The 18,731-nt window shown below is 58.6% G+C and overlaps 3 protein-coding genes across 22 annotated transcripts in view, besides 7 other annotated features; 1 reads left to right on the plus strand and 2 right to left on the minus strand.

Moving 5' to 3' along the window:
* On the minus strand, positions 1-6,491 carry ABHD15 (abhydrolase domain containing 15). The gene is made up of 2 exons (NM_198147.3): positions 5,540-6,491; positions 1-2,540 (listed from the first exon to the last, which is right to left on the minus strand). The coding sequence occupies exons 1-2, from the start codon at positions 6,418-6,420 to the stop codon at positions 2,015-2,017; spliced, it is 1,407 nt and encodes a 468-aa protein (NP_937790.2). The 5' UTR covers positions 6,421-6,491; the 3' UTR covers positions 1-2,014.
* Positions 5,432-5,541: an enhancer, noted in NCBI's record as "active region_11979". NCBI's record gives its function as "activates an Ori minimal core promoter by ATAC-STARR-seq in GM12878 lymphoblastoid cells {active_cell/tissue: GM12878}" and the evidence as "EXISTENCE:reporter gene assay evidence [ECO:0000049][PMID:35858748]".
* The window catches only part of TP53I13 (tumor protein p53 inducible protein 13), a 16,041-nt gene continuing 3,063 nt past the window's right edge, over positions 5,754-18,731 (plus strand). The window contains exons 1-7 of one of the 16 annotated variants that reach the window (XM_047437003.1): positions 5,754-6,042; positions 7,732-8,002; positions 8,472-8,540; positions 8,772-8,813; positions 11,045-11,173; positions 11,311-11,511; positions 11,596-12,151. In XM_047437003.1, coding sequence (XP_047292959.1) covers positions 8,475-8,540; positions 8,772-8,813; positions 11,045-11,173; positions 11,311-11,511; positions 11,596-12,151 — 994 coding nt within the window. In that variant the 5' untranslated portion in view covers positions 5,754-6,042; positions 7,732-8,002; positions 8,472-8,474. The other 15 variants (XM_047437000.1, XM_047437001.1, XM_047437002.1 and 12 more) reach the window with 15 other exon arrangements.
* Positions 6,062-6,681: a silencer, noted in NCBI's record as "silent region_8373". NCBI's record gives its function as "represses an Ori minimal core promoter by ATAC-STARR-seq in GM12878 lymphoblastoid cells {active_cell/tissue: GM12878}" and the evidence as "EXISTENCE:reporter gene assay evidence [ECO:0000049][PMID:35858748]".
* Positions 6,772-7,031: a silencer, noted in NCBI's record as "silent region_8374". NCBI's record gives its function as "represses an Ori minimal core promoter by ATAC-STARR-seq in GM12878 lymphoblastoid cells {active_cell/tissue: GM12878}" and the evidence as "EXISTENCE:reporter gene assay evidence [ECO:0000049][PMID:35858748]".
* Positions 7,562-7,611: an enhancer, noted in NCBI's record as "active region_11980". NCBI's record gives its function as "activates an Ori minimal core promoter by ATAC-STARR-seq in GM12878 lymphoblastoid cells {active_cell/tissue: GM12878}" and the evidence as "EXISTENCE:reporter gene assay evidence [ECO:0000049][PMID:35858748]".
* Positions 8,032-8,391: a silencer, noted in NCBI's record as "silent region_8375". NCBI's record gives its function as "represses an Ori minimal core promoter by ATAC-STARR-seq in GM12878 lymphoblastoid cells {active_cell/tissue: GM12878}" and the evidence as "EXISTENCE:reporter gene assay evidence [ECO:0000049][PMID:35858748]".
* Positions 8,695-9,195: an enhancer, noted in NCBI's record as "H3K4me1 hESC enhancer chr17:27896259-27896759 (GRCh37/hg19 assembly coordinates)". NCBI's record gives its function as "activates a minimal SCP1, AML or CMV promoter by ChIP-STARR-seq in primed H9 embryonic stem cells {active_cell/tissue: H9 hESC(primed)}" and the evidence as "EXISTENCE:reporter gene assay evidence [ECO:0000049][PMID:30033119]".
* Positions 12,345-12,414: a silencer, noted in NCBI's record as "silent region_8376". NCBI's record gives its function as "represses an Ori minimal core promoter by ATAC-STARR-seq in GM12878 lymphoblastoid cells {active_cell/tissue: GM12878}" and the evidence as "EXISTENCE:reporter gene assay evidence [ECO:0000049][PMID:35858748]".
* GIT1 (GIT ArfGAP 1) overlaps positions 12,929-18,731 on the minus strand; it is a 16,174-nt gene continuing 10,371 nt past the window's right edge. For 2 of the 5 annotated variants that reach the window (NM_014030.4, XM_047435858.1), the window contains exons 8-20: positions 18,185-18,233; positions 17,753-17,825; positions 17,099-17,196; positions 16,590-16,701; positions 16,317-16,450; positions 15,976-16,128; positions 15,674-15,904; positions 15,532-15,585; positions 15,266-15,352; positions 15,084-15,157; positions 14,742-14,924; positions 14,533-14,596; positions 12,929-14,368 (exon numbers count right to left, since the gene is read on the minus strand). In NM_014030.4, coding sequence (NP_054749.2) covers positions 14,156-14,368; positions 14,533-14,596; positions 14,742-14,924; positions 15,084-15,157; positions 15,266-15,352; positions 15,532-15,585; positions 15,674-15,904; positions 15,976-16,128; positions 16,317-16,450; positions 16,590-16,701; positions 17,099-17,196; positions 17,753-17,825; positions 18,185-18,233 — 1,525 coding nt within the window. In that variant the 3' untranslated portion in view covers positions 12,929-14,155. Of the gene's footprint in view, positions 14,390-14,532; positions 14,597-14,741; positions 14,925-15,083; positions 15,158-15,265; positions 15,353-15,531; positions 15,586-15,673; positions 15,905-15,975; positions 16,129-16,316; positions 16,451-16,589; positions 16,702-17,098; positions 17,197-17,752; positions 17,826-18,184; positions 18,234-18,415; positions 18,443-18,731 lie in introns of all 5 variants that reach the window. The other 3 variants (NM_001085454.2, XM_011524684.3, XM_011524685.3) reach the window with 3 other exon arrangements.

An 18,731-nucleotide genomic window follows, 5' to 3' on the forward strand; every position in this document is an offset into this window, starting at 1 on the left:
TTAATTTCAGTTCCTTTTTATTTATCCTGCTTAGAAACGGCAAAAGAACGTCAGATGAGGAATATGGAGGAGGAGAAACAAGAAGTGGGGAGAAGGGAGATAATTTTTCTTTTCTTTTTTTTTTTTGAAACACAGTCTTACTCTGTCGCCCAGGCTGGAGTGCAGTGGTGCGATCTCAGCTCACTGCAAGCTCCGCCTCCCGGGTTCACGCCATTCTCCTGCCTCAGCCTCCTGAGTAACTGGGATTACAGGCACCCGCTACCACGCCCGGCTAATTTTTTGTATTTTTAGTAGAGATGAGGTTTCACTGTGTTAGCCAGGATGGTCTCGATCTCCTGACCTCGTGATCCACCCACCTCGGCCTCCCAAAGTGCTGAGATTATAGGTGTGTGCCACCGCTCCCAGCCAGGAGGGAGATAATTTTTCACAACAAGATAATGTCCCTTAGATTATCGAGTGCTGTCTACATTTCAGTGCAGATTCTTGGAGTTATTTCAAAGTTTCTTCTGATTTGATCTAGAAGAACAAGATCTAGAATCTGGGGCAAGATTATCCAAACCTGAAATCAAGGCCTCAGGAATACCTTATACCAAGTCTTGGAATGTGGGTTTTCGTATAAGCAGCTCTCTTCTTTACAACAGCTTTGCTGTTTTTGAGGTCAGAACAGGAGCCCTCTTTCTCAATGACGATTAAAATAAAACTTCAGGGCAAAGTTTTTGAATCTTAGCAACACATGGAAACATATGTCCTGTTGCCAAAAAAATTTTAATTGCCTAATCCAAACCAGAATATTTAGATCAACCTGTATACTATATATTATCTCTGATATACTATATCTCTAGTCCTCAGCATTATTCTTCATAAAACCAAATACCCACTTATTTGCTGAGTGGCCAGATCTAAGAGGAAGCTTTTCTGCCTTTACAGGGATGGCCTTTTGAATAATTGAGCAGACGAAGCATTGGAATATGAAATATTTGTAAATCACTGGTCAGCTCTAGTCAACCTCTTGGTGCTTTTGTTTCCTCTGGTCCCAGATGTGTCTCCTGGCTCTGGAAAGGGAGAGGCCAGTAGTAGGATCAGAAAAGGGAGCAACCAACCAGAAAACACCTAAGTTATGAGGTTTGTGCTTTTCCTGACTTAGAGAAAGTCCATATCTCAGGAGATAAACAGTTCTGGCTGCAGCTCTCTGGAGTAATCCCCTGAAATGGTGCCAGAGGGAGCATGTAGGGTAGCCAAGATTCTGACTCCTTGAACCATGGTCTAGCAAAGCCCTCAGATCCTGCATGAGAGCGCTTCCTATTTGTAAAATACCCTTGGGATCTCTCCAGTGAGGCTTGGGGGCCAGATCAGCCCCATTCCTAGCTGAGACTTGCAGAGCTCCTCTGAGAGATTGGAACTTCGCATTCCTTGAGATGGACATTCACATTCTCTACCTGCTCAGCCCTCAGCGAGCCAGCCCCACTGCCTCTGCCGCCCTTCTCACACACACAAGCCTGCTGCCGCAGTTGCCAGAGCATTCGGTCAAAGCAGGGCGCCACAACCACAGAGCAAATGAGGGAAGTGGGGCCGAGACACAAACATCCTGTCCTCATGACATCAAATGGCTCCAGCTTGAGAATCGGGGTCACTGCCCAGTGACATACACAAACGTCTCATCCCTCTAGCCACTGCCAGTAAGAGGGCATTTTCTCCTGAGTCCATGGATTGAAAAAGTGCTATCCTTTGGCTTGTGATGTCAGTGACAGGTGACAGTGACTGGAACGCGCCGCTGCTGACCGGATGAGTAGGGATATGTTGAGCAGAGGCCAGGCAGGAGTTCTGCTGAGGATGAAGTGAGTGCAGGCTCGCAGGACGTTCCTTCTCTTTCAAGGCACCAATTTAAGAGAGAGGGACTGAATGAGGAGCACAGAGCTGGAGCTCCCTCTGTTCAGTCCGCCCCATCTTTCCAGGACTCCCCCTTGCCCAGCTCTGTTTTTCTTTGCAGGACTTGGGGGTTCTCAGGCCAGGTCTTTCACCTTGTGTATGATCGCTTCCAGTTAAAGATCTCCTCCAGGTTGGAAGAGGAAGAGACTTCCCGCCTCTGCAAGGCTCCCCCACGACGACGGCCCCCAAGGAAGGAAGCTCTGTGCCTGCTCAGCCCTTTAATCCTCTCCTCCGTTCGGAAGAACTCAGTCAAGGCCCGGAAGGACTCCAAGATGACCTCATGGCTCCAGGCTGGCAAGGGCTCCTGGCGCAGGAAGCCACAGTGGCCTCCGTGGCGACTGAGCAGGAGGAAGAAGTAGGGGTTGCTGTGGAAGAGTTCAGTTGTCAGAGTGTGGTCTGGGGGTCCACACACGGGGTCGTCAGCACTGCAGATACACAGCACAGGCACGGCTGCCTCATCGACATCCCGGAGCGGGTCGTTGCGGTCCCAGTAGGTATCCCAGCTGATGGGGAAGCTTTTGGTGTGGCAGAAGAGAGCCTCCTCAAACTCTCGAAGGGAACGGCTCCTGAACAGTCTGCTGGTGTCCACAGTGTCCTCCAGGGCTGTGGCATACCTGGCAGCGAGGTGTTTAGTGGGGAAGGTGGGAAAGAGAGGGAAGAATGAGAACATCAGGTGACAGCAGATGAGACAGACAGACAGCCCGCAGGCCAGATCTGTCCACAGAGGCTTTCTTTGGCCATTTAGGGCTTCGAAAACGTTTAATTTCATGGCCATCATTTAAAACCAGATAAGGCTGGTTGTGGTGGCTCACGCCTGTAATCCAAACACTCTGGGAGGCCAACGAGGTGGGTGGATCACTTAAGTCCAGGAGTTTGAGAACAGCCTGGGCAACAGGGCGAAAACCCATCTCTAAAAAAAAAAAAAAAAAAAATTAGCTTGGCATGGTGGCTCAGTCCCAGCTATTCAGGAGGCTGAGGTGGGAGGACTGCTTGAGCCTGGGAGGTCAAGGCTGCAGTGAGCTATGATTGCACCATTGCATTCCAGCCTGGGTGACACAGAGAGACCATTTCAAAAAATAAAATAAAATAATATAAAATAATAAAAGTGGCCAGGCGCGGTGGCTCATGCCTGTAATCCCAGAACTTTGGGAGGCTGAGGCAGGTGGATCACGAGGTCAAGAGATTGAGACCATCCTGGCCAACACGGTGAAACCCCATCTCTACTAAAAATACAAAAATAAGCTGGGCGTGGTGGCGGACACCTGTAGTCCCAGCTACTTGGGAGGCTGAGGCAGGAGAATCACTTGAACCCAGGAGGCAGAGGTTGCAGTGAGCCGAGATCGTGCCACTGCGTTCCAGCCTGCTGACAGAGCGAGACTCCATCTCAAAAAATAAATAAATAAATAAATAAAATAATAAAATTAGAAGATTTCACATAAAATGCAGGTGTCTGGCTTCTCTAGGGAAGTGGGAAGATCCAGCCACATGGGTGGGCATTTCTCAGCACAACAATGGGTTCCTCCCTCCTTCCTGTGTGACGGTGCCCACTAGGCCTGTCATTCACAGCATCACTGCACCTGTCTATGTGCCCTAGGGGCAGCATTTGACTTCACAGCTGCTGACAGTTCTCCTAACCTCAACTTCTGGCCCTCTGTGGAGAACTTGCTATGAACTGTAACCTACTAAACTGCTCCTAGAAGAACTTGCTGCTCAGAGTATCCAAACCAGCAGGTGACACCTCTGCTAATAATTCACATTTGACTTTAGGTTGCATTCATTGTTTTTATTTTTGCTTTTTAAACTAACATCCTGTCCTGGTAATGTCACATGAGTGTGATGTTGATCAGGTATACCTGGGGCAGATATTCCTAGAGAGTGTGCTGCCTGGCAGAGGAAGCAATTGAGTTGGTCATTAATTTACTGGGTGGATTCCTAAATGGGGGCCTCAGAGCAACTGCTTTGGGTAACAGGGAACATCTTTGCTGTTTCTAGACCCCTGGAGAGGGCTTGGCATCCTGACAAGGAGGCCAGGATGAGCAGCTCCGTCTTTTGAATAGCTCAATCCAGCCTCAGACAGTTGAAATTAGATGTTAATCTCTGACCAGGCATAGTGGCTCACATCTATAATCCCAGCACTTTGGGAGGCCAAGGCGGGTGGATTCCCTGAGTCTAGACATTCAAGACCAGCCTGGACAACATGGCACAATCCCATCTTTATGAAAAATACAAAAATTAACCGGGCATGGTGGCATGTGCCTGTAGTCTCAGCTACTCGGGAGGCTGAGGTGGGGGTCTGGCCCCCACATCCCAGGTCTTTCTGCTACACCACACTGTTGCCATAATGACTTCGACCTCATTCTGCCATCTCCTAAGAAAGCCAGAGTGCAGGCTAGGAATGTCACCTGAGCCCAGGAACTCAAGGCTGCAATGAGTGGTGATTCCACCACTGCACTCCAGCCTGGGCGACAGAGTAAGATCTTGCCTCAAAAAACAAACAAACAGCTGGGCACGGTGGCTCACACCTGTAATCCTAGCACTTTGAAAGCTGGGGCAGGCGGATCACTTGACATTAGGGGTTCCAGACCAGCCTGGCAAACATGGAGAAACCCCGTCTCTACCAAAAAAAATATTAAAAATTAGCTGGGTGTGGTGGTGCACGCCTGTAGTCCCCAGCCACTTCAGAGGCTAAGGCAGGAGAATAGCTTGCACCCAGGAGGTGGAGGTTACAGTGAGCCGAGATCATGTCACTACACTTCAGCCTGGGTGACAAAGTGAGACTGTCTAAAAAAAAAAATACTTTTAAAAAATAATAATTTTAATAAATGCCTACATATATGCGTGTGTGTGTATATATATATATAACATTTTTTTTTGAGACAGGGTGTTGCTCTGTCACCCAGGCTAGAGTGCAGTGGCCTGACCAGGGCTCTCTGCAGCCTCGAACTTCTGGGCTTCGGTGATCCTCCCATCTCAACCTCCTGAGTAGCTGGGACCACAGATGCATGCCACCACACCCGGCTAATTAAAAAAAGAAATTTTTGTAGAGACAGGTTTTCCTATGTTGCCCAAGTTAGTCTCAAACTCTTGGGCTCAAGTGATCCTCCTGCCTTGGCCTCCCAAAGTGCTGGGATTACAGGCGGGAGCCACTGCACCTGGCCTCAAATGCCACCATATTTCTGATTCCTGTCACCTCCAGGCTCAGAGACTGTGAGTAAACATTCTGGGCAGATAATCGTTTGCAATTGCTTCCAGAGTGCTCTTTGCTGAGCTGTTAAGCTGTGGGCTAAGTGGTAAATGTCAGGTATCTCTGCTGTCGTGGGCCAGGTGCTCAGATTGCTAGGATACAGCAGGGGGTGCCGAGATGAGGCAAGGGGCCGGGTTAGGAGTCCCTGCTCTAGCACAGCGATACTAGCTGAGTCCATCGATGACCTTTAAACCCGCTTCCCCGGTTCTGTCTAGATTACAGGGTTTGGAAGGCTTTGGAAGATGTGTTCAGAGAACTTTGCCCAAACTGGCCCACGCCTGTTCCAATGCTATGCATAGCTGTTTCTGATTCTTAGCCAGCTCAGGCCCTCTATTCTTTCCATGCTGGTCTGCGGCCTCCGTTACCCACCTGCTGAGGGCGATCTTCTGGTGGAGCAGAAAGCCCCGCTCGTAGGGCCAGGGCAGGCCGGCCTCGAACCACTCTCGGCAGCGCAGCACGGGCGAGATGCAGGCGGCGCCTGTCACGTAGCTGGAGGAGCCGCACTCGCCCAGGTAGGACAGGAGCAGCGCCGAGCCCGAGCCTTCGCTCACCGCGAACAGCGGCGCCGCCGGGTGTCGGAAGCGGATGTATGTGACCGCCTCCTTGAGGTCGGACGGGTCCCCGAAAGGCTGCAGCCGGGGGCTGACCAGTGGGCAACCGTGGTGGCCGCGGCGATGGAAGATGACCGGGTAGTAGCCGCGCTCCAGGGCGAGCAAGCAAAGGCCGAGCACGTTGCGGGTGAGGCGACCCCACGCATTGGGGATCACCAGAAGCACCGCAGGAAGGCCCCCGGCGCTGGTGATCCGGCGGCCCCGAACACAAGGTCCTACCACCCAGTCCAGGGCCACTAGCCCATCGTCCGCCAACTGCAGGTACTCCCGGGCCAGCTCAGGCCCAGGCGCTACGGGCAGGACGAAGTGGCAGAGGGTCTGCAGGTGGGGCCCGGAGAACCAGGAGCGCGGGCCGGCCTCCAGCGCCTCTGAGCGCCGCAGGGCGCGCAGCAGGCACTGGGCCAGGGCCGACGGCTTGCAAACAAGGCTGCACCCTCCCGGCAGTGGCTCGCGCCCGTCGCTGAACTGGTCCGCCGGGCCTCCGCCGTCCGCCTCCTCCCCGTCGTCTCGGTCTTGGGCCCCCGGCAGGGTCCTCTCTCCGACGGCGCGCCCCCAGGGTCCCCGGAGCCGCGGGCCGAGCAGGCCGAGAAGGGCGAGCACGGCCAAGATGAGCGCGAGGGCGGCGCCCCACGGCGGCATGGCGAAGCTGGAGAGCCCCGGCGGGCAGCGGGCGGCGGGGCCGTCTACTCGGCGAGCTCCGCGCTTTGCCCGCGGCTCCGCCCGCCGGCGGCGGCTGCCCAGGGCCCTCCCGCGCGGGCGCGCTCTGGATTGGCCGTGGCCGGGCAGAGGCAGCCAGTTCGGGCCCGGCTGCCCTCGCCCGCCCCCCACCCCCGCCCCGGCCCTTTGTACAGCAATTGCAACAAGTGGGAGCAGAGGGTGAGAGGAGCCGGGGCCACCAGGGAGGGAGGGCGCGCCGGCAGCCGGAAGGGAGTGGGGAGGGCACGAGCCGGGGAGAGCGGTGTTGGCCATGGAGACGTGGGGAGACTGGAGGCCGAGGCTTGGGGACCCGACTGTCATCAGGGTCTTCCGCCAGACCCTGGGCGCTGCGCCCTCAGAGGCCGATGAAAAGAAGCAGAAGGGAGAGGTGAGTAAGTCGCAGCTCCGGGCGCCGGCTCCCGGGACCCCGTGGGGCGGCGGCCGCGCGCGCGCTCTGCCCTCGGGCGGCCCTGCTCTCCCCCGCCCGGCCCCGCAACCCCGCAATAACTTGGCTGGGCGGGGTCCGGCACTGGGCTAGAGAGGTCGAGCGCGGCGTCTTGAGCCGCTGGCGGGAGGCTGCTGCTTCCCCGCCTGCATCAGTGCGGGTCCCGTGGACTCCTCGCCCCCGTCCCCGCGAGCTCGGGGCTCCACATCAAGGAAATCCTCAGCCCGGGAGTGGCTTCCCCAGAAACAGCAGCCCCAAGCCTCCGAGAGTCAGTCGGAGAAAAGGACACACTCAGGCGCCCTGCGACAGGGATGCCCGTCCGACCTACAAGGAACGCCTCGTAAACCGGGGTGCATGGGAGACCACGGAAATAACACGTTCTCGCTGTTTCCAAGCTTTGGGATAGGCATCTCGACCCTCGCTCTCTACCCACGTTTCCCCCCCAAATCCTGGAGAGGGAACCAGAACCAGCGCCCCGCTGCGGGGCGGGCCGGCCAGCGCACCTCCTGGGGGTGAGGCCTGTGGCGTCCCCATCTCGCGGCGACCAATCTCTTTCTAGACGCGCGCCTGCCACCGCTGGGCGACGGCGGAGGTGGGGAAGACAGCAGCCTCTCGGCTAGCTCCGGCCTCCCGGGGCTTCTGGGTTTGGAGAGTTTGGGGAGCGGAGACACCTCCCGAGGCTCCTCCGCGTTGGACCCTATTTGCGAGGGCGGGAGCGGGGTGGGCCGACGGCGAAGCTCCAGAGGTGGGACCCTCTCCCTTCAGCAGCTCTTCCTGACTTCATGATTCTGCCCCTCTTCTCATTGCAGGTCACACCGACAAATCTGAAGCGGGTTTGCCAGGGGAGTGTACCCGTCTCCCCAGCCTGGGCCACCCGGTCCACAGGGATTCCATTTCCGGCCTTACACTCCGCTCCACGATCTCATCCAGGCGCTGCAGCTGTGCAGCTGCTCTACAGACTGCAGGGACCTGCTGAGACGAATCCCCGGACGAGGAAAGGGGCCCCCCGCCTGCCCTACTGAGCCTTGCGCGCTGACCCGGTTCCTACACTTAACTTTTCCGGCTTCGGGTTTAAGACGCGTGCGCGCACACTCCGCTGCTGTGGGCGGGCATTGGGGCGGGGCGATACCGGGGGCCCACTGTCTGGGGAGGGGCGCGCGCGAGCCCAGGGCCAACGGACGCGCGGGCGGCGCGGGCGGCGCGGGGGCGCTGGGGCTGGAGGGGCGGGGCGCGCGCGCTCCCTCGCTGGCGGAGCGGCTGGGCGGCGGGCCGGGCCCGGGGCCGCTTGGAATGGCGCCTCCTCCGCCTTCGCCCCAACTGCTTCTCCTGGCAGCCCTCGCGAGGCTCCTGGGTCCCAGCGAGGTAAGGTGACCCGCTCCTGGGAAGGCCTCGGCCCGCGAGCTCAAAGCGCTTTGCCAAAAGTTCGTCCTGGAAGGAGTGGCGCGCCGAGGGGGACGCGGAGTTCTTCCGCTGGCGGGCTGGGCCTGGGGAGAGAGAGGGCAGGGCCTCGCCGCGTCCAGCGCCCCAACTCTTCGCTTTGGACCCACAGGTGATGGCTGGACCGGCGGAGGAGGCGGGAGCCCATTGTCCCGAGAGCCTGTGGCCTCTGCCTCCGCAGGTAGGAGCCCTGGAGGGCCCAGGGAGAGAGGGATGTGAAAGGCTAGCCCAGTCCCGCTCTGTTCTCGCCGCACCCTCCACAGTCACCATCTGAGGACCTCTGCCGGTTCCTCAGTCCTCAGTAGCCAACTTCTCCATCCCAGCCTGGCGCTTGGGGCCTGCCGTCCCCTCCCCACCACACACACACGGAGTCCCCCAACTGCCCTAAGCTCTGTTCTTTCCCCATGTATAGGTGTCACCAAGAGTGACCTACACACGAGTGAGCCCAGGGCAGGTGAGTACAAGCAGGGGCCCACCACCCTTGGTGTCCACGCCTGGAGACAGGCGCTCCTAGCAGGCTTCGCTGCCTGTTCTGCTGATCGGCCCCATTCCTTACCACTTCCCTCAGGCAGAGGCAGGGTTCTAGTTCTCTGCCCCACCTCCAAGCCCAGGACAGATCAGCCCCAGGACAGATGGCTCAAAGACAGTGAGCCATAGGCCTGTCATCTGCAATGCTGTGTCAGGATGCTGTTGGGTAGCTGGCTCTGTGGACAAGTGGCTGTGAGTGGAACTCTCTCTGAGAGTAGCTGGAAAAAACCCAGGCTCCAGCTCCCTGAGGAGACAGCGGGAAGTCTCCTGACTTTGTGGGCCCCAGCTTTCTGTAGGAGAGGGTATTAATTCTGTCTCTACCTGTGAGCAGCGAGGGAGGGTATGTGCCAGCACCGTGTACAGTACAGAGCTGCATCGTGCAAGGAGTGTGCCTCCAGTTGCCAGGCTCCACACTGCGGGCTCAGCTTGCGTGGTAGCATCTCCATCTTCATCGCCAGCTCCTCTGAATTTTCCTTTGAAATACTTATTATTATTATTATTTGAAATGGAATCTCACTCTGTTGCCCAGGCTGGAGTGCAGTGGCACTCACTGCAACCTCTGCCTCCAGGTTCAAGCAATTCTTATGCCACAGCCTCCCGAGCAGCTGGGATTACAGGCGTGTGCCACCTAGCTTAGCTAATTTTGTATTTTTAGTAGAGACGAGGTTTCACCATGTTGCCCACGCTGGTCTTGAGCTCCTGACCTCAAGTGATCTGCCTGCCTCAGCCTCCCAAGTGCTGGGATTACAGGTGTGAGCCACCATGCCTGGCCTGAAATACCTAACTTAAATTGGCCAGGCATGGTGGCTCACACCTGTAATCCCAGTACTTTAGGAGGCTGAGGCGGGTGGAACACCTGAGGTCAGGAGTTCAAGACCAGCTTGGCCAACATGGTGAAACCCTGTCTCTACTAAAAATACAAAAATTAGCTGGGCGTGGTGGCACACCCCTGTAATCCCAGCTACTTGGGAGGCTGAGGCAGGAGAATTGCTTGAGCCCAGGAGGCAGAGGTTGCAGTGAGCCGAGACCATGCCACTGCACTCCAGCCTGGCGACAGAGCGAGACTGTCTCAAAAAAAAAAAAAAATTCTCTGTAATAGCTCCAGGCCAAGAGTTGTTGCCTCACGCCACCTATCAGATTCCTTTCCTCAAACAGCCCTTTCATGAAGTCATTCCTCTGTTCACAAACTGTCAATGGCTCCTTATTTCCCACCTTATCGTGGCCATATTCTCCGGCCTGGCTTTTCAGGCCTTACTTAAGTAAGCTTCGTCTGACCTCTCCACATCCTTGGTTCCTCTCCAGTTGTGTCGGGCTGTTTGCCACACAAATGAGTGCCAGCCTCGCCCTTACCACAGCCCCTTTGCTCCTGTTTATTCTCCTCCACACCTGGCCTATCCTGACTCGGAGAGTGCAGCTCCCTGCCCTCCTGCCATACTCCCCCAGCCATCTTCCCAGTCCCAGCTGGCATCAGCTCCCCCTGAGACACTGCCCGATGGCATCAGCCTTTATTCCTCCCCTCCTCCTCTGAATCTATCTCTGATAATTTAACAACTAATCACTAAGTTTTATTAGTTTGCTGTTTTATTTGCATTAGTTGTTTCCCTGAGTTTCTCACACACTCCTTGCAAGCAGAGTCCAGGAGTTCTTTGGCATCTCCCACAGCATCTAGCACAGCACTGAGCACCAAGTCAACTCAATCAAAGAATAATGAATGATTGATGGAGTATTTCCATCCTGAGATTGTGCACCTGCTGCCTGCCTGCCCTGTATTTGGATGCTCTTGGGAGACTGTATAGATTGGATCGATGGTCTTCATTTGGGGGTTGCTTATGGCTTGGATTGTGGACCTGTAGAGCCATCGTTACACCTGCAGGGAAATATGGCTAGAGTGTGGTCTGAGTCTGGCAGGATTATCCAGGCATGCTGTGAGCTTTGAAGGGTGGCACTTGATGGAGAGGAAGGGTGAAAGGAACACTCAGAGGCAAGAGTGGGTACATGCCAATACCCAGGGCCCTTTGTCCTTTCCTGGGCCCTGAAGGTAGAAGAGCCATCCAGCTATCCTGGGAGTACCTTTAAACTGGTCCCCTGGATGGGAGAACTTGAGATTCTCTGGGAGGGCTCTGGGCCTGCTTTGATGTCTCTGTGCCTTTCCTCCAGGCTGAGGATGTCACCTTCCTCTACCACCCCTGTGCCCATCCCTGGCTGAAGCTCCAGCTTGCCCTCCTGGCCTATGCTTGTATGGCTAACCCTTCCCTCACCCCTGACTTCAGCCTCACGCAGGATCGGGTATGTAGCTGATGAAAGGCGCTTGCCTGGCCCTGGCAGAAGGCTATGGCCCCGTGTGCAGGGAATGGAAAATTCAAGGGTTTCCTCTTGTTTGTCCCCACCTTCCTCGTAGCTCTAACAGTTACCTCCTCTCGTAGCCCCTGGTGCTGACTGCATGGGGGCTGGCGCTGGAGATGGCCTGGGTAGAGCCAGCCTGGGCTGCCCACTGGCTGATGAGGAGGCGGAGGAGGAAGCAGAGGAAGAAGAAGGCATGGATCTACTGTGAAAGCCTTTCAGGGCCTGCTCCCTCCGAGCCAACTCCCGGTAGAGGGAGGCTGTGCCGAAGAGGGTGTGTGCAGGTGAGAGACGCTGGGCCCAGGCTTGTTGGCCCTCGGGTTCTCTGAGAGGGGCAGCAGGGTGATTGCTCTCTCTCCTCTCCTTAGGCCCTGGCTCTGGCCTTTGCTCTGCGGAGCTGGCGGCCCCCTGGCACAGAGGTGACATCTCAAGGGCCCAGGCAGCCCTCTTCTAGTGGTGCCAAGAGGCGGAGGCTGCGGGCTGCCCTTGGTCCCCAGCCCACTCGCTCAGCCCTGAGGTTTCCCTCTGCTTCCCCAGGGAGCTTGAAGGCCAAGCAGTCCATGGCGGGAATCCCTGGTAGGGAGAGTAATGCCCCATCTGTGCCCACTGTCTCCCTGCTGCCGGGGGCGCCTGGAGGCAATGCCAGCTCCAGGACAGAGGCTCAGGTGCCCAACGGGCAAGGCAGCCCAGGGGGCTGTGTCTGTTCAAGTCAGGCTTCCCCGGCCCCTCGCGCAGCAGCGCCTCCACGGGCAGCCCGGGGCCCCACCCCACGCACTGAAGAGGCCGCCTGGGCTGCCATGGCCCTGACCTTCCTGCTGGTGCTGCTCACCCTGGCCACGCTCTGCACACGGCTGCACAGAAACTTCCGACGCGGGGAGAGCATCTACTGGGGGCCCACAGCGGACAGCCAGGACACAGTGGCTGGTGAGGAGTTCCCTCCCTACCCTACCCGAGGCCCCCGCCCCACCTCGCGTCGCCCGCCGCCCCCCGTAGCTTCCCTGCCCTCCCGCCCTTGACTGCTCGGCGCCCGGCCCACAGCTGTGCTGAAGCGGAGGCTGCTGCAGCCCTCGCGCCGGGTCAAGCGCTCGCGCCGGAGACCCCTCCTCCCGCCCACGCCGGACAGCGGCCCGGAAGGCGAGAGCTCGGAGTGACGGCCTGGGACCTGCCACTGTGGCGTGCGGCTCCTCCCCGCGCCGCGAGGCCGCGACCTCTGCCACGTGGACCGCGCGCGGGGCGCTCCCTGGTGGCGATGGCGCGGCACTGGCCGAGCACTGCGGGGGCTTTCCTCCTTGTTGGTTGCTGAGTGGGCGGCCAAGGGGAGAAAAGGAGCCGCTTCTGCCTCCCTTGCCAAAACTCCGTTTCTAATTAAATTATTTTTAGTAGACTCTGGAGTTGAGCTTGTGCATCTGCCGCACAGAGACTCCCACCCGGACCCTCGTCCTAGGCCATGGAGGTGGTGTTTGAGGCAGCCCGCCCCCGCTGGCCAACCTGTCCCTGGACATGGGGCTTTAGGAATGTGCTCGTGGGAGGGTGGCGTTATCGTCATACATGTTAGCTTTGTTATTCGCAAACTAACTCTTCCACTAGACAGACGTTCCCAGCACAGGGGCTTCCCTAGGGCGGGGGTCCTGGGGCACTTGCAGTCACCCTTCATGTCTGCCACCTCCCTCCAGCCCCCATTCTCTAAGCATCAGAAACAGCTCATGGTCACTTCTTTATTTTTGATACAAATGTACATGACACGTCTTGACAGCCCACCCACCACCACACAGGTAGGGCCTGGCCCCCAGGGAAGAAGCGGGATGGGGAGAGAGCTGGTGGGTCCCACCGTCTGCCTCTCCAGCCTTCCCAGGCTGCAGCCAGGTTCCCAGGCCTCCAGAGGGTGGGACCACAGCAGGTGCAGGTAGTGATGGTGGGTGCTGGCCTTGCAGAGGTTACGGGGAGGGGACTCAGCTCCACAGCCACCAGCTGAGTCGGGGACCCCGGGGAGCCAGCCCCAGGCTCAGGTGCTCAGTCCTCCACCCTAGCCAGCACACATTCCCCCTCCACGCAGGAGCAGGAGGAGATGGAGGGAAGTGGTTTTTGATTTAAGTTCATAGAGAAGGGGCGAGAGTGGGGAGGGATCAGGGAGGCAGCTGGCAGGACCAAAACTGGCTACCCGGACAGTCCCTGGCTCCAGGTGGGGAAGGGAAGCTGATCCCCATGCTGGTCCCACTGCTCTGGTCCCCTCACCCCTCAAAACTCCAGATGGACCAGGCCTCCGGAACGGCACTGCCGCCCACACACTCAACACGCAGGCACGCGGGGGCACTCAGTTACCACAAAGTTAAAATTAAGGGGTGGGGAAGAAGAAAGAAAAAAAAAAAACAGACTTTCCAGTGTTTGCTGCTGGGGACCCCAGCACACAGGTTGGGGCCTGTGCCCTAGGCAGGGGCCATATGGCATTAAAGGGAGAGCAGCAAGGGGCTGGTGGCTACAGGGCAGGGACATCCATGGAGACTATGTACAAAGGAGGGGATGCCCCCGCTCAGCCCCCAGTAGGGCTGAACTGGCTCATGGGGGTGGGGCGCATGTACGGAGAGCTGCCCCACTTGGAGTGTCCCCACCTGCCCCTTTGCTGAGGGTGCCCTAGAAGGCGAGGGGCTGGGAGTGATGCCTTGCAGGCCCCTGCTCACTAGGAGGGGGGAGATGCTATATACAGAGGGGAGGTGCATGGAATGTGGGGGACAGAAGCTCCTGCCCCCCCACCTCCCCATCCTTAGGGGCTCGACAGGGGTGGGCACCAGGGCACCTGGCTGCCAGGGAGTGTGGCAGCACTAAGGGCACTTGTGCCAGTGGCTCTGTTGGGGTGGGGATTAATGTCTGGAGTGGCCCAGCTCCTATGGCCAGTGAGGTCCTAGGGTGCAGGTGAGGGTGTGGGGAGAGAGGTCACTGCTTCTTCTCTCGGGTGGTGATGGTGACCAGCTGCTTGGCAGCCTTGGCGATGTCATAGGCGCACTGGATCACCTGCTGAGTCAGCAGCTGGAAGTCCACTGGGGCGCCGGGCTCTGGGGGCACTGTCTTCCGGCACTCACTCTGCAGCCGGTAGGCGCTGGCGTTGAGCAGCCGCAGTGAGCTCCGCACTGGCTCCAGGGCTGGCCTCTGGAGGGGGCAGGAGTGAGGCTGGACCTTGGACTTTAAGCCACCAGCTGAGATCAGGGCCCAGTTTGTCTGTGTCTCCACCCAGGTAGCGATCAGATGGGATTCTCCACGCCTGCCCCAGCTCGAGGCCCTCCCACTCCTGGTCCTCTCTTTGGCCCCTGTACCTTTGGGAAGAGGGAGGCCATCTCGGTCACAGCCAAATGGATCTTCTCTGAGCAGGGCACGAAGCTGCGGGGAGAAGGGAGGCTATAAAGCAGGGGGCTCTCAAGGGAGGTTCCCAGGGACAGCAGAACCCAGGGCCCCTCATGCTCTCTGCAACACCCTAGAAGCCAACAGGAACTGCATCCCCCTCACCTCCCCCTCCACTCAGTACCTGTCATGCTTGAACTCCTGGGCTGCCCGCAACAGTTCCTGAATGTTCTTGGTGACCTGCTCTGTCTTCAAGATGACATCCTCTGTGCTGGGAAGCCCAGGATCTAGGTCTCCATCCAGGCTTTCCAGCTCTGGGTGGAAGTCTTCCTCTTTGCCCAGCTCTAGAAACCTCTTCCCTTCCAGCCTGAGGCCCAGGTCCAGAAAACAGAGACAAAGATACATATAGAGAAAGACACGTTCCAGCCTCGGAGCCGCCCGCCTTGGTCCTCACACACTGGGGGCCCTCTCAACCTCCCCGCCTCGGCATGTGAGCAGGCTGGACTGGAGACCCAGGGAGCCTCACCCCAGCAGTGGGTCCCCACTTTGCGTGTTCTCATAGTCACTGTCGGCTCCACTGCCGTGGCGGGAAAGCTTGCTCTGGAGGGCGGAGGGAAGGGGCTGTGAGCGCCGTGTTCCTGGACCCACACTGCCCCTAGCCCACACGGCCCCCAGCCACCCTGTGGGCACTGGGCATGGAAACATTACCGTGTGGCGGCTTCCCTCCTGGGAGCAGGACAGCAGCGGGGAGGAGGGAGTGAAGGGCACAGCTGAGGCAGACACCCCTTTCCGGATCTGAAACCCAGGGCAGCGCTGGATGGAGTCAGTGTGCCCCACTGCCCCCCTGCTCACCAGCAGTGCAGCAGGGACCAGGTCAGTCTAATCATCTTAAGCCCCGAATTCAGCACAGAGCCCAGAACCCCCTGGGGCTCAGAACCTACTGGCTAAGATGGACACGCCTTCCCCAGGCTTACCCGGTAAAGGCCAGCAGGGACGTGCACTGAATAGATGGCGTCGTCCTCTAGCTCCTGGGGATGTTAGCACAGCGAGCGTCATGGTGGACCCTGCGGCAGCCCCACCCATCTCCCCACACCTTGAGACCCATAGGTGACTCACAGTGCTGTGGAAAGGCTGCAGCCGCGTAGTGAGCTCGTCCCCAGGGGGGCCCCCAAAGGGCTTCAGGGCAGAGCCAGGTTCATACATGGAAAAGGCCTGGCGATCCCTGCGGTGTGTGCTCCCGCCTGGCGCCATGGGTGTGTGTTCCGCCCGTTCACTGGGGAGTGGAGGTGTGGGCACCGGCCCTGGAGGCTGCCGGAGCTGCAGGTTCTCCGCCTGCAGCTTGTGGATCTATGGGTGCAAAGTGCTGTCAACCCCCTGGAGTCCTGGGGCTCCCCCTCCCACCGAGGCTGCACCCTCACCTCTCGCTGCAGCCTCCGGAGCTCGTCGCTCAGGCTACTGTTGACCTTCATGAGCTGCTGCACCTTTGCCTCCGATGTAGCCAGGGCCTTCTTCAGCTCCAGGTACTCCTGCAGCGTCACAGCCCCGTCAGACAAGTCCGAGGAGTCCATGCTCTGCAGAGAGAGACCTAAGCTGGTCAGCACCTGGGGGCAGGGAGGCCAACACCCGCAGGGGGCAGTTATTGAGGCTAGGAGCAGCCCACCTGTCCCTCAGGCCCCTGGGCTACAAGAGGACAGAGCTGGGCCTCAGCGAAGGCCTGGGTCAGGGCACAGGGGAGTGGGAAGGAGGGTGGGACTCAGACCCGGGCCCGGTTGCTCCGAGTGGCGCCGGTGCTGCGCAGGGGCTCCTGGTCTGTGTCCTCGTCAGAGGCCACGCTGTCGTAGTCGTGTTGGTCGTCGAGGTCACTCTGGCTCCGCAGAGACAGCTCGAGGTTGTCTGAGGACACAGGAGTGTCACTCAGGCCACACTCCACCACACAACCCATCTCTCAGGTCACCACTGGCAGGGAGAGCCATGCAGGAAAGACCCCTGGAGCCCCGCCTGCTTCCCACACCCTCCCACACAACCCTCCCACCTGTGGGGCTGCTCAGGCTCTTGCCCTGCTGTCTCCGCTTGGCCTCACTGAGAATGTCGATGATCAAGGTGGCAAACTCTCGGGCATTAAAGCGGGCCAGCTTTTGTCGCCCCTGCAAGGCAGAAAGGGCCAGGCTGGCTTCAGGGGACCCCTTATGACTGACGCAGGACGGCAGGGACCAAGTAGCAAGGCATGGCTCTGCCATTTAATTTAACCCCAGCTAAAGCGTCCCAGCCTAGCTTCACCTGGCTAGTCAGCAGCCAAGGCCACCCGTGGCAGGGTATGATAGAGTAGGGTGCCTGAGCAGAGGCCGGAACACCCACCGGAGCTGCTCCCCAAGTGCTCAAAACAACAGCCTCCTGACCTTCCCAAATCCCAGTGCCAGCTGTGCCCTGAGGGAGGCCCTGGCAAATGCTGGAGAGCTGGCTCAGGCCCCAGCCCACTGCCGGATGAGGAGGGACCGCGGGGATGAAGTAGACCACCCCAGGCCCCCAATCCAGCCCCCTCACCTGATTCCGCGTGGCTGAGTATTCCGGGTTAACAGGCAGGAAGGGCACGGCACTGCGCTCTGTCACCAGAGTGCTGTGGTTTTGGGTAGCCAGCCACACTGTAGGGGACGGACAGGAGCAGATCAGCCACGGTGGCCAGGCCCCCAAGGTGGGGGTGGGGAAGCACTGAGCCCAGCCTTCCTAGCTGCCCCCACGCCTACTGAGCACTGGTGTTCAGAACAGGGGTGGTCTTTGGGCACGCAGAGCTAGGCCGGGCCAGGGCAAGGCTGGGCGTGGCCGGCTGGGGACAGACAAATGGAACAAGGCCAGTGCCACTCATCCAAACCCAGAGTTTGGGCTGGAATCCGGCTGTGGCCAGGAAGGAGTGATGCAGGGGGGTGGAGCGGTACCAGGGAGACAGCCAAAGTGGGAGGCTGCCAGAGCAAGAGGAGCCCCAGTCTGAGGCTGGGGGAGGAGCACGCTAGCCGCCTCCCCCTCAGCACTCTACCCAGCCTGGGATGCTGCCCAGGCAGGCTCACAGCCAGCAGGGGCTCATCTGCAGGCCTCTGAGCAGCCCCAACCCCAGGCACCCCTTCTTAGCCCAGTAAAGGACCAGAGACCCATGCCTGGGCCGCTCGGGTCCTCCACGCCAGACACTCCTGCTCCCTGACTCACCTGCATCATTTTCTCTTCGATCCACCTCGTCATACACGTCCATGGCGAGTTCCTCAAAAAGCCGGTTGCTGAGCTGGAGGAAGAGAGGGGCCCAGATGTTGTCAGATGCATCGGCTCCCAGTGCCAAGGCCAGCTCCCCAGCATGTTGTGAGCCTTGGGGAACCGGTGGCCTTCCTTGTGCTGCCCAGCCCCTACAGTCTCAGAATGGGAAAGTGGAAAGGGATCATGTTCCAAACTCCAAGGTGGGAGAGAAGGGACCAGTCCATCCCCTTGTAGGGAGGTCAGGGAGAGGGGACTGCTGAGGCCAGTGAGGGGACAGGTCAAAGACTTGGAAAAGGTCATCGAGTCAGAGGCAGAGGAAGCAAGAGCAGAGGGTGGGGGATCAGAGAGGGGCCAGCTTCAAGTGTCAGGGCACTGTTGGAGCAGACTTACCGCCTGCAGCTTCTTCTTAGCAGCTTTGGCCAATTCGGATAAGTCAAGGCTGAGGGCAGAGGGAGATGGGAATTGGGAGGAGAGGAGAGACCTGAGAGGTGGCCAGGCCCATGCCAGCAACCTCCCCAACATGCAGGGATCCCGGGGAGATGGCACCCCAGATGCTGCACACCAAATGCCTCCCCGCCCTACCCCACCTTCAGGCCTGCTGCCCCGGCAGGCACCATATACCTCTGAGACATGCACTTTTGCCGAGATCTAAGTCCAGAGGAAGGCAGCAGAGGGAAGAACAGGACAGAGGCGGCAGTTACCCAGGAGCAGGGCAGCACACGCCTTTTCACATCAGGCCCAGACCCATCTCCACGCACACCCGGCCCAGAAGGGACAAAGCTGAATTCATCTCACCGCGTCCCCCACCCCTCCTCCTCTGGCTTGCTCTTCCTCTCAGTGACCTGTTTGTCCACCACCAGTGTCAGCCACCTGGCAGTCACCTGAAGCCTCCCTCACCCTCCAGTCCTAGTGAAGCTCCCCAGGTTCCTCAATCACC

The sequence above is a fragment of the Homo sapiens genome, chromosome 17 (genome assembly GCF_000001405.40).
Source record: "Homo sapiens chromosome 17, GRCh38.p14 Primary Assembly".
NCBI lineage: Eukaryota > Metazoa > Chordata > Mammalia > Primates > Hominidae > Homo > Homo sapiens.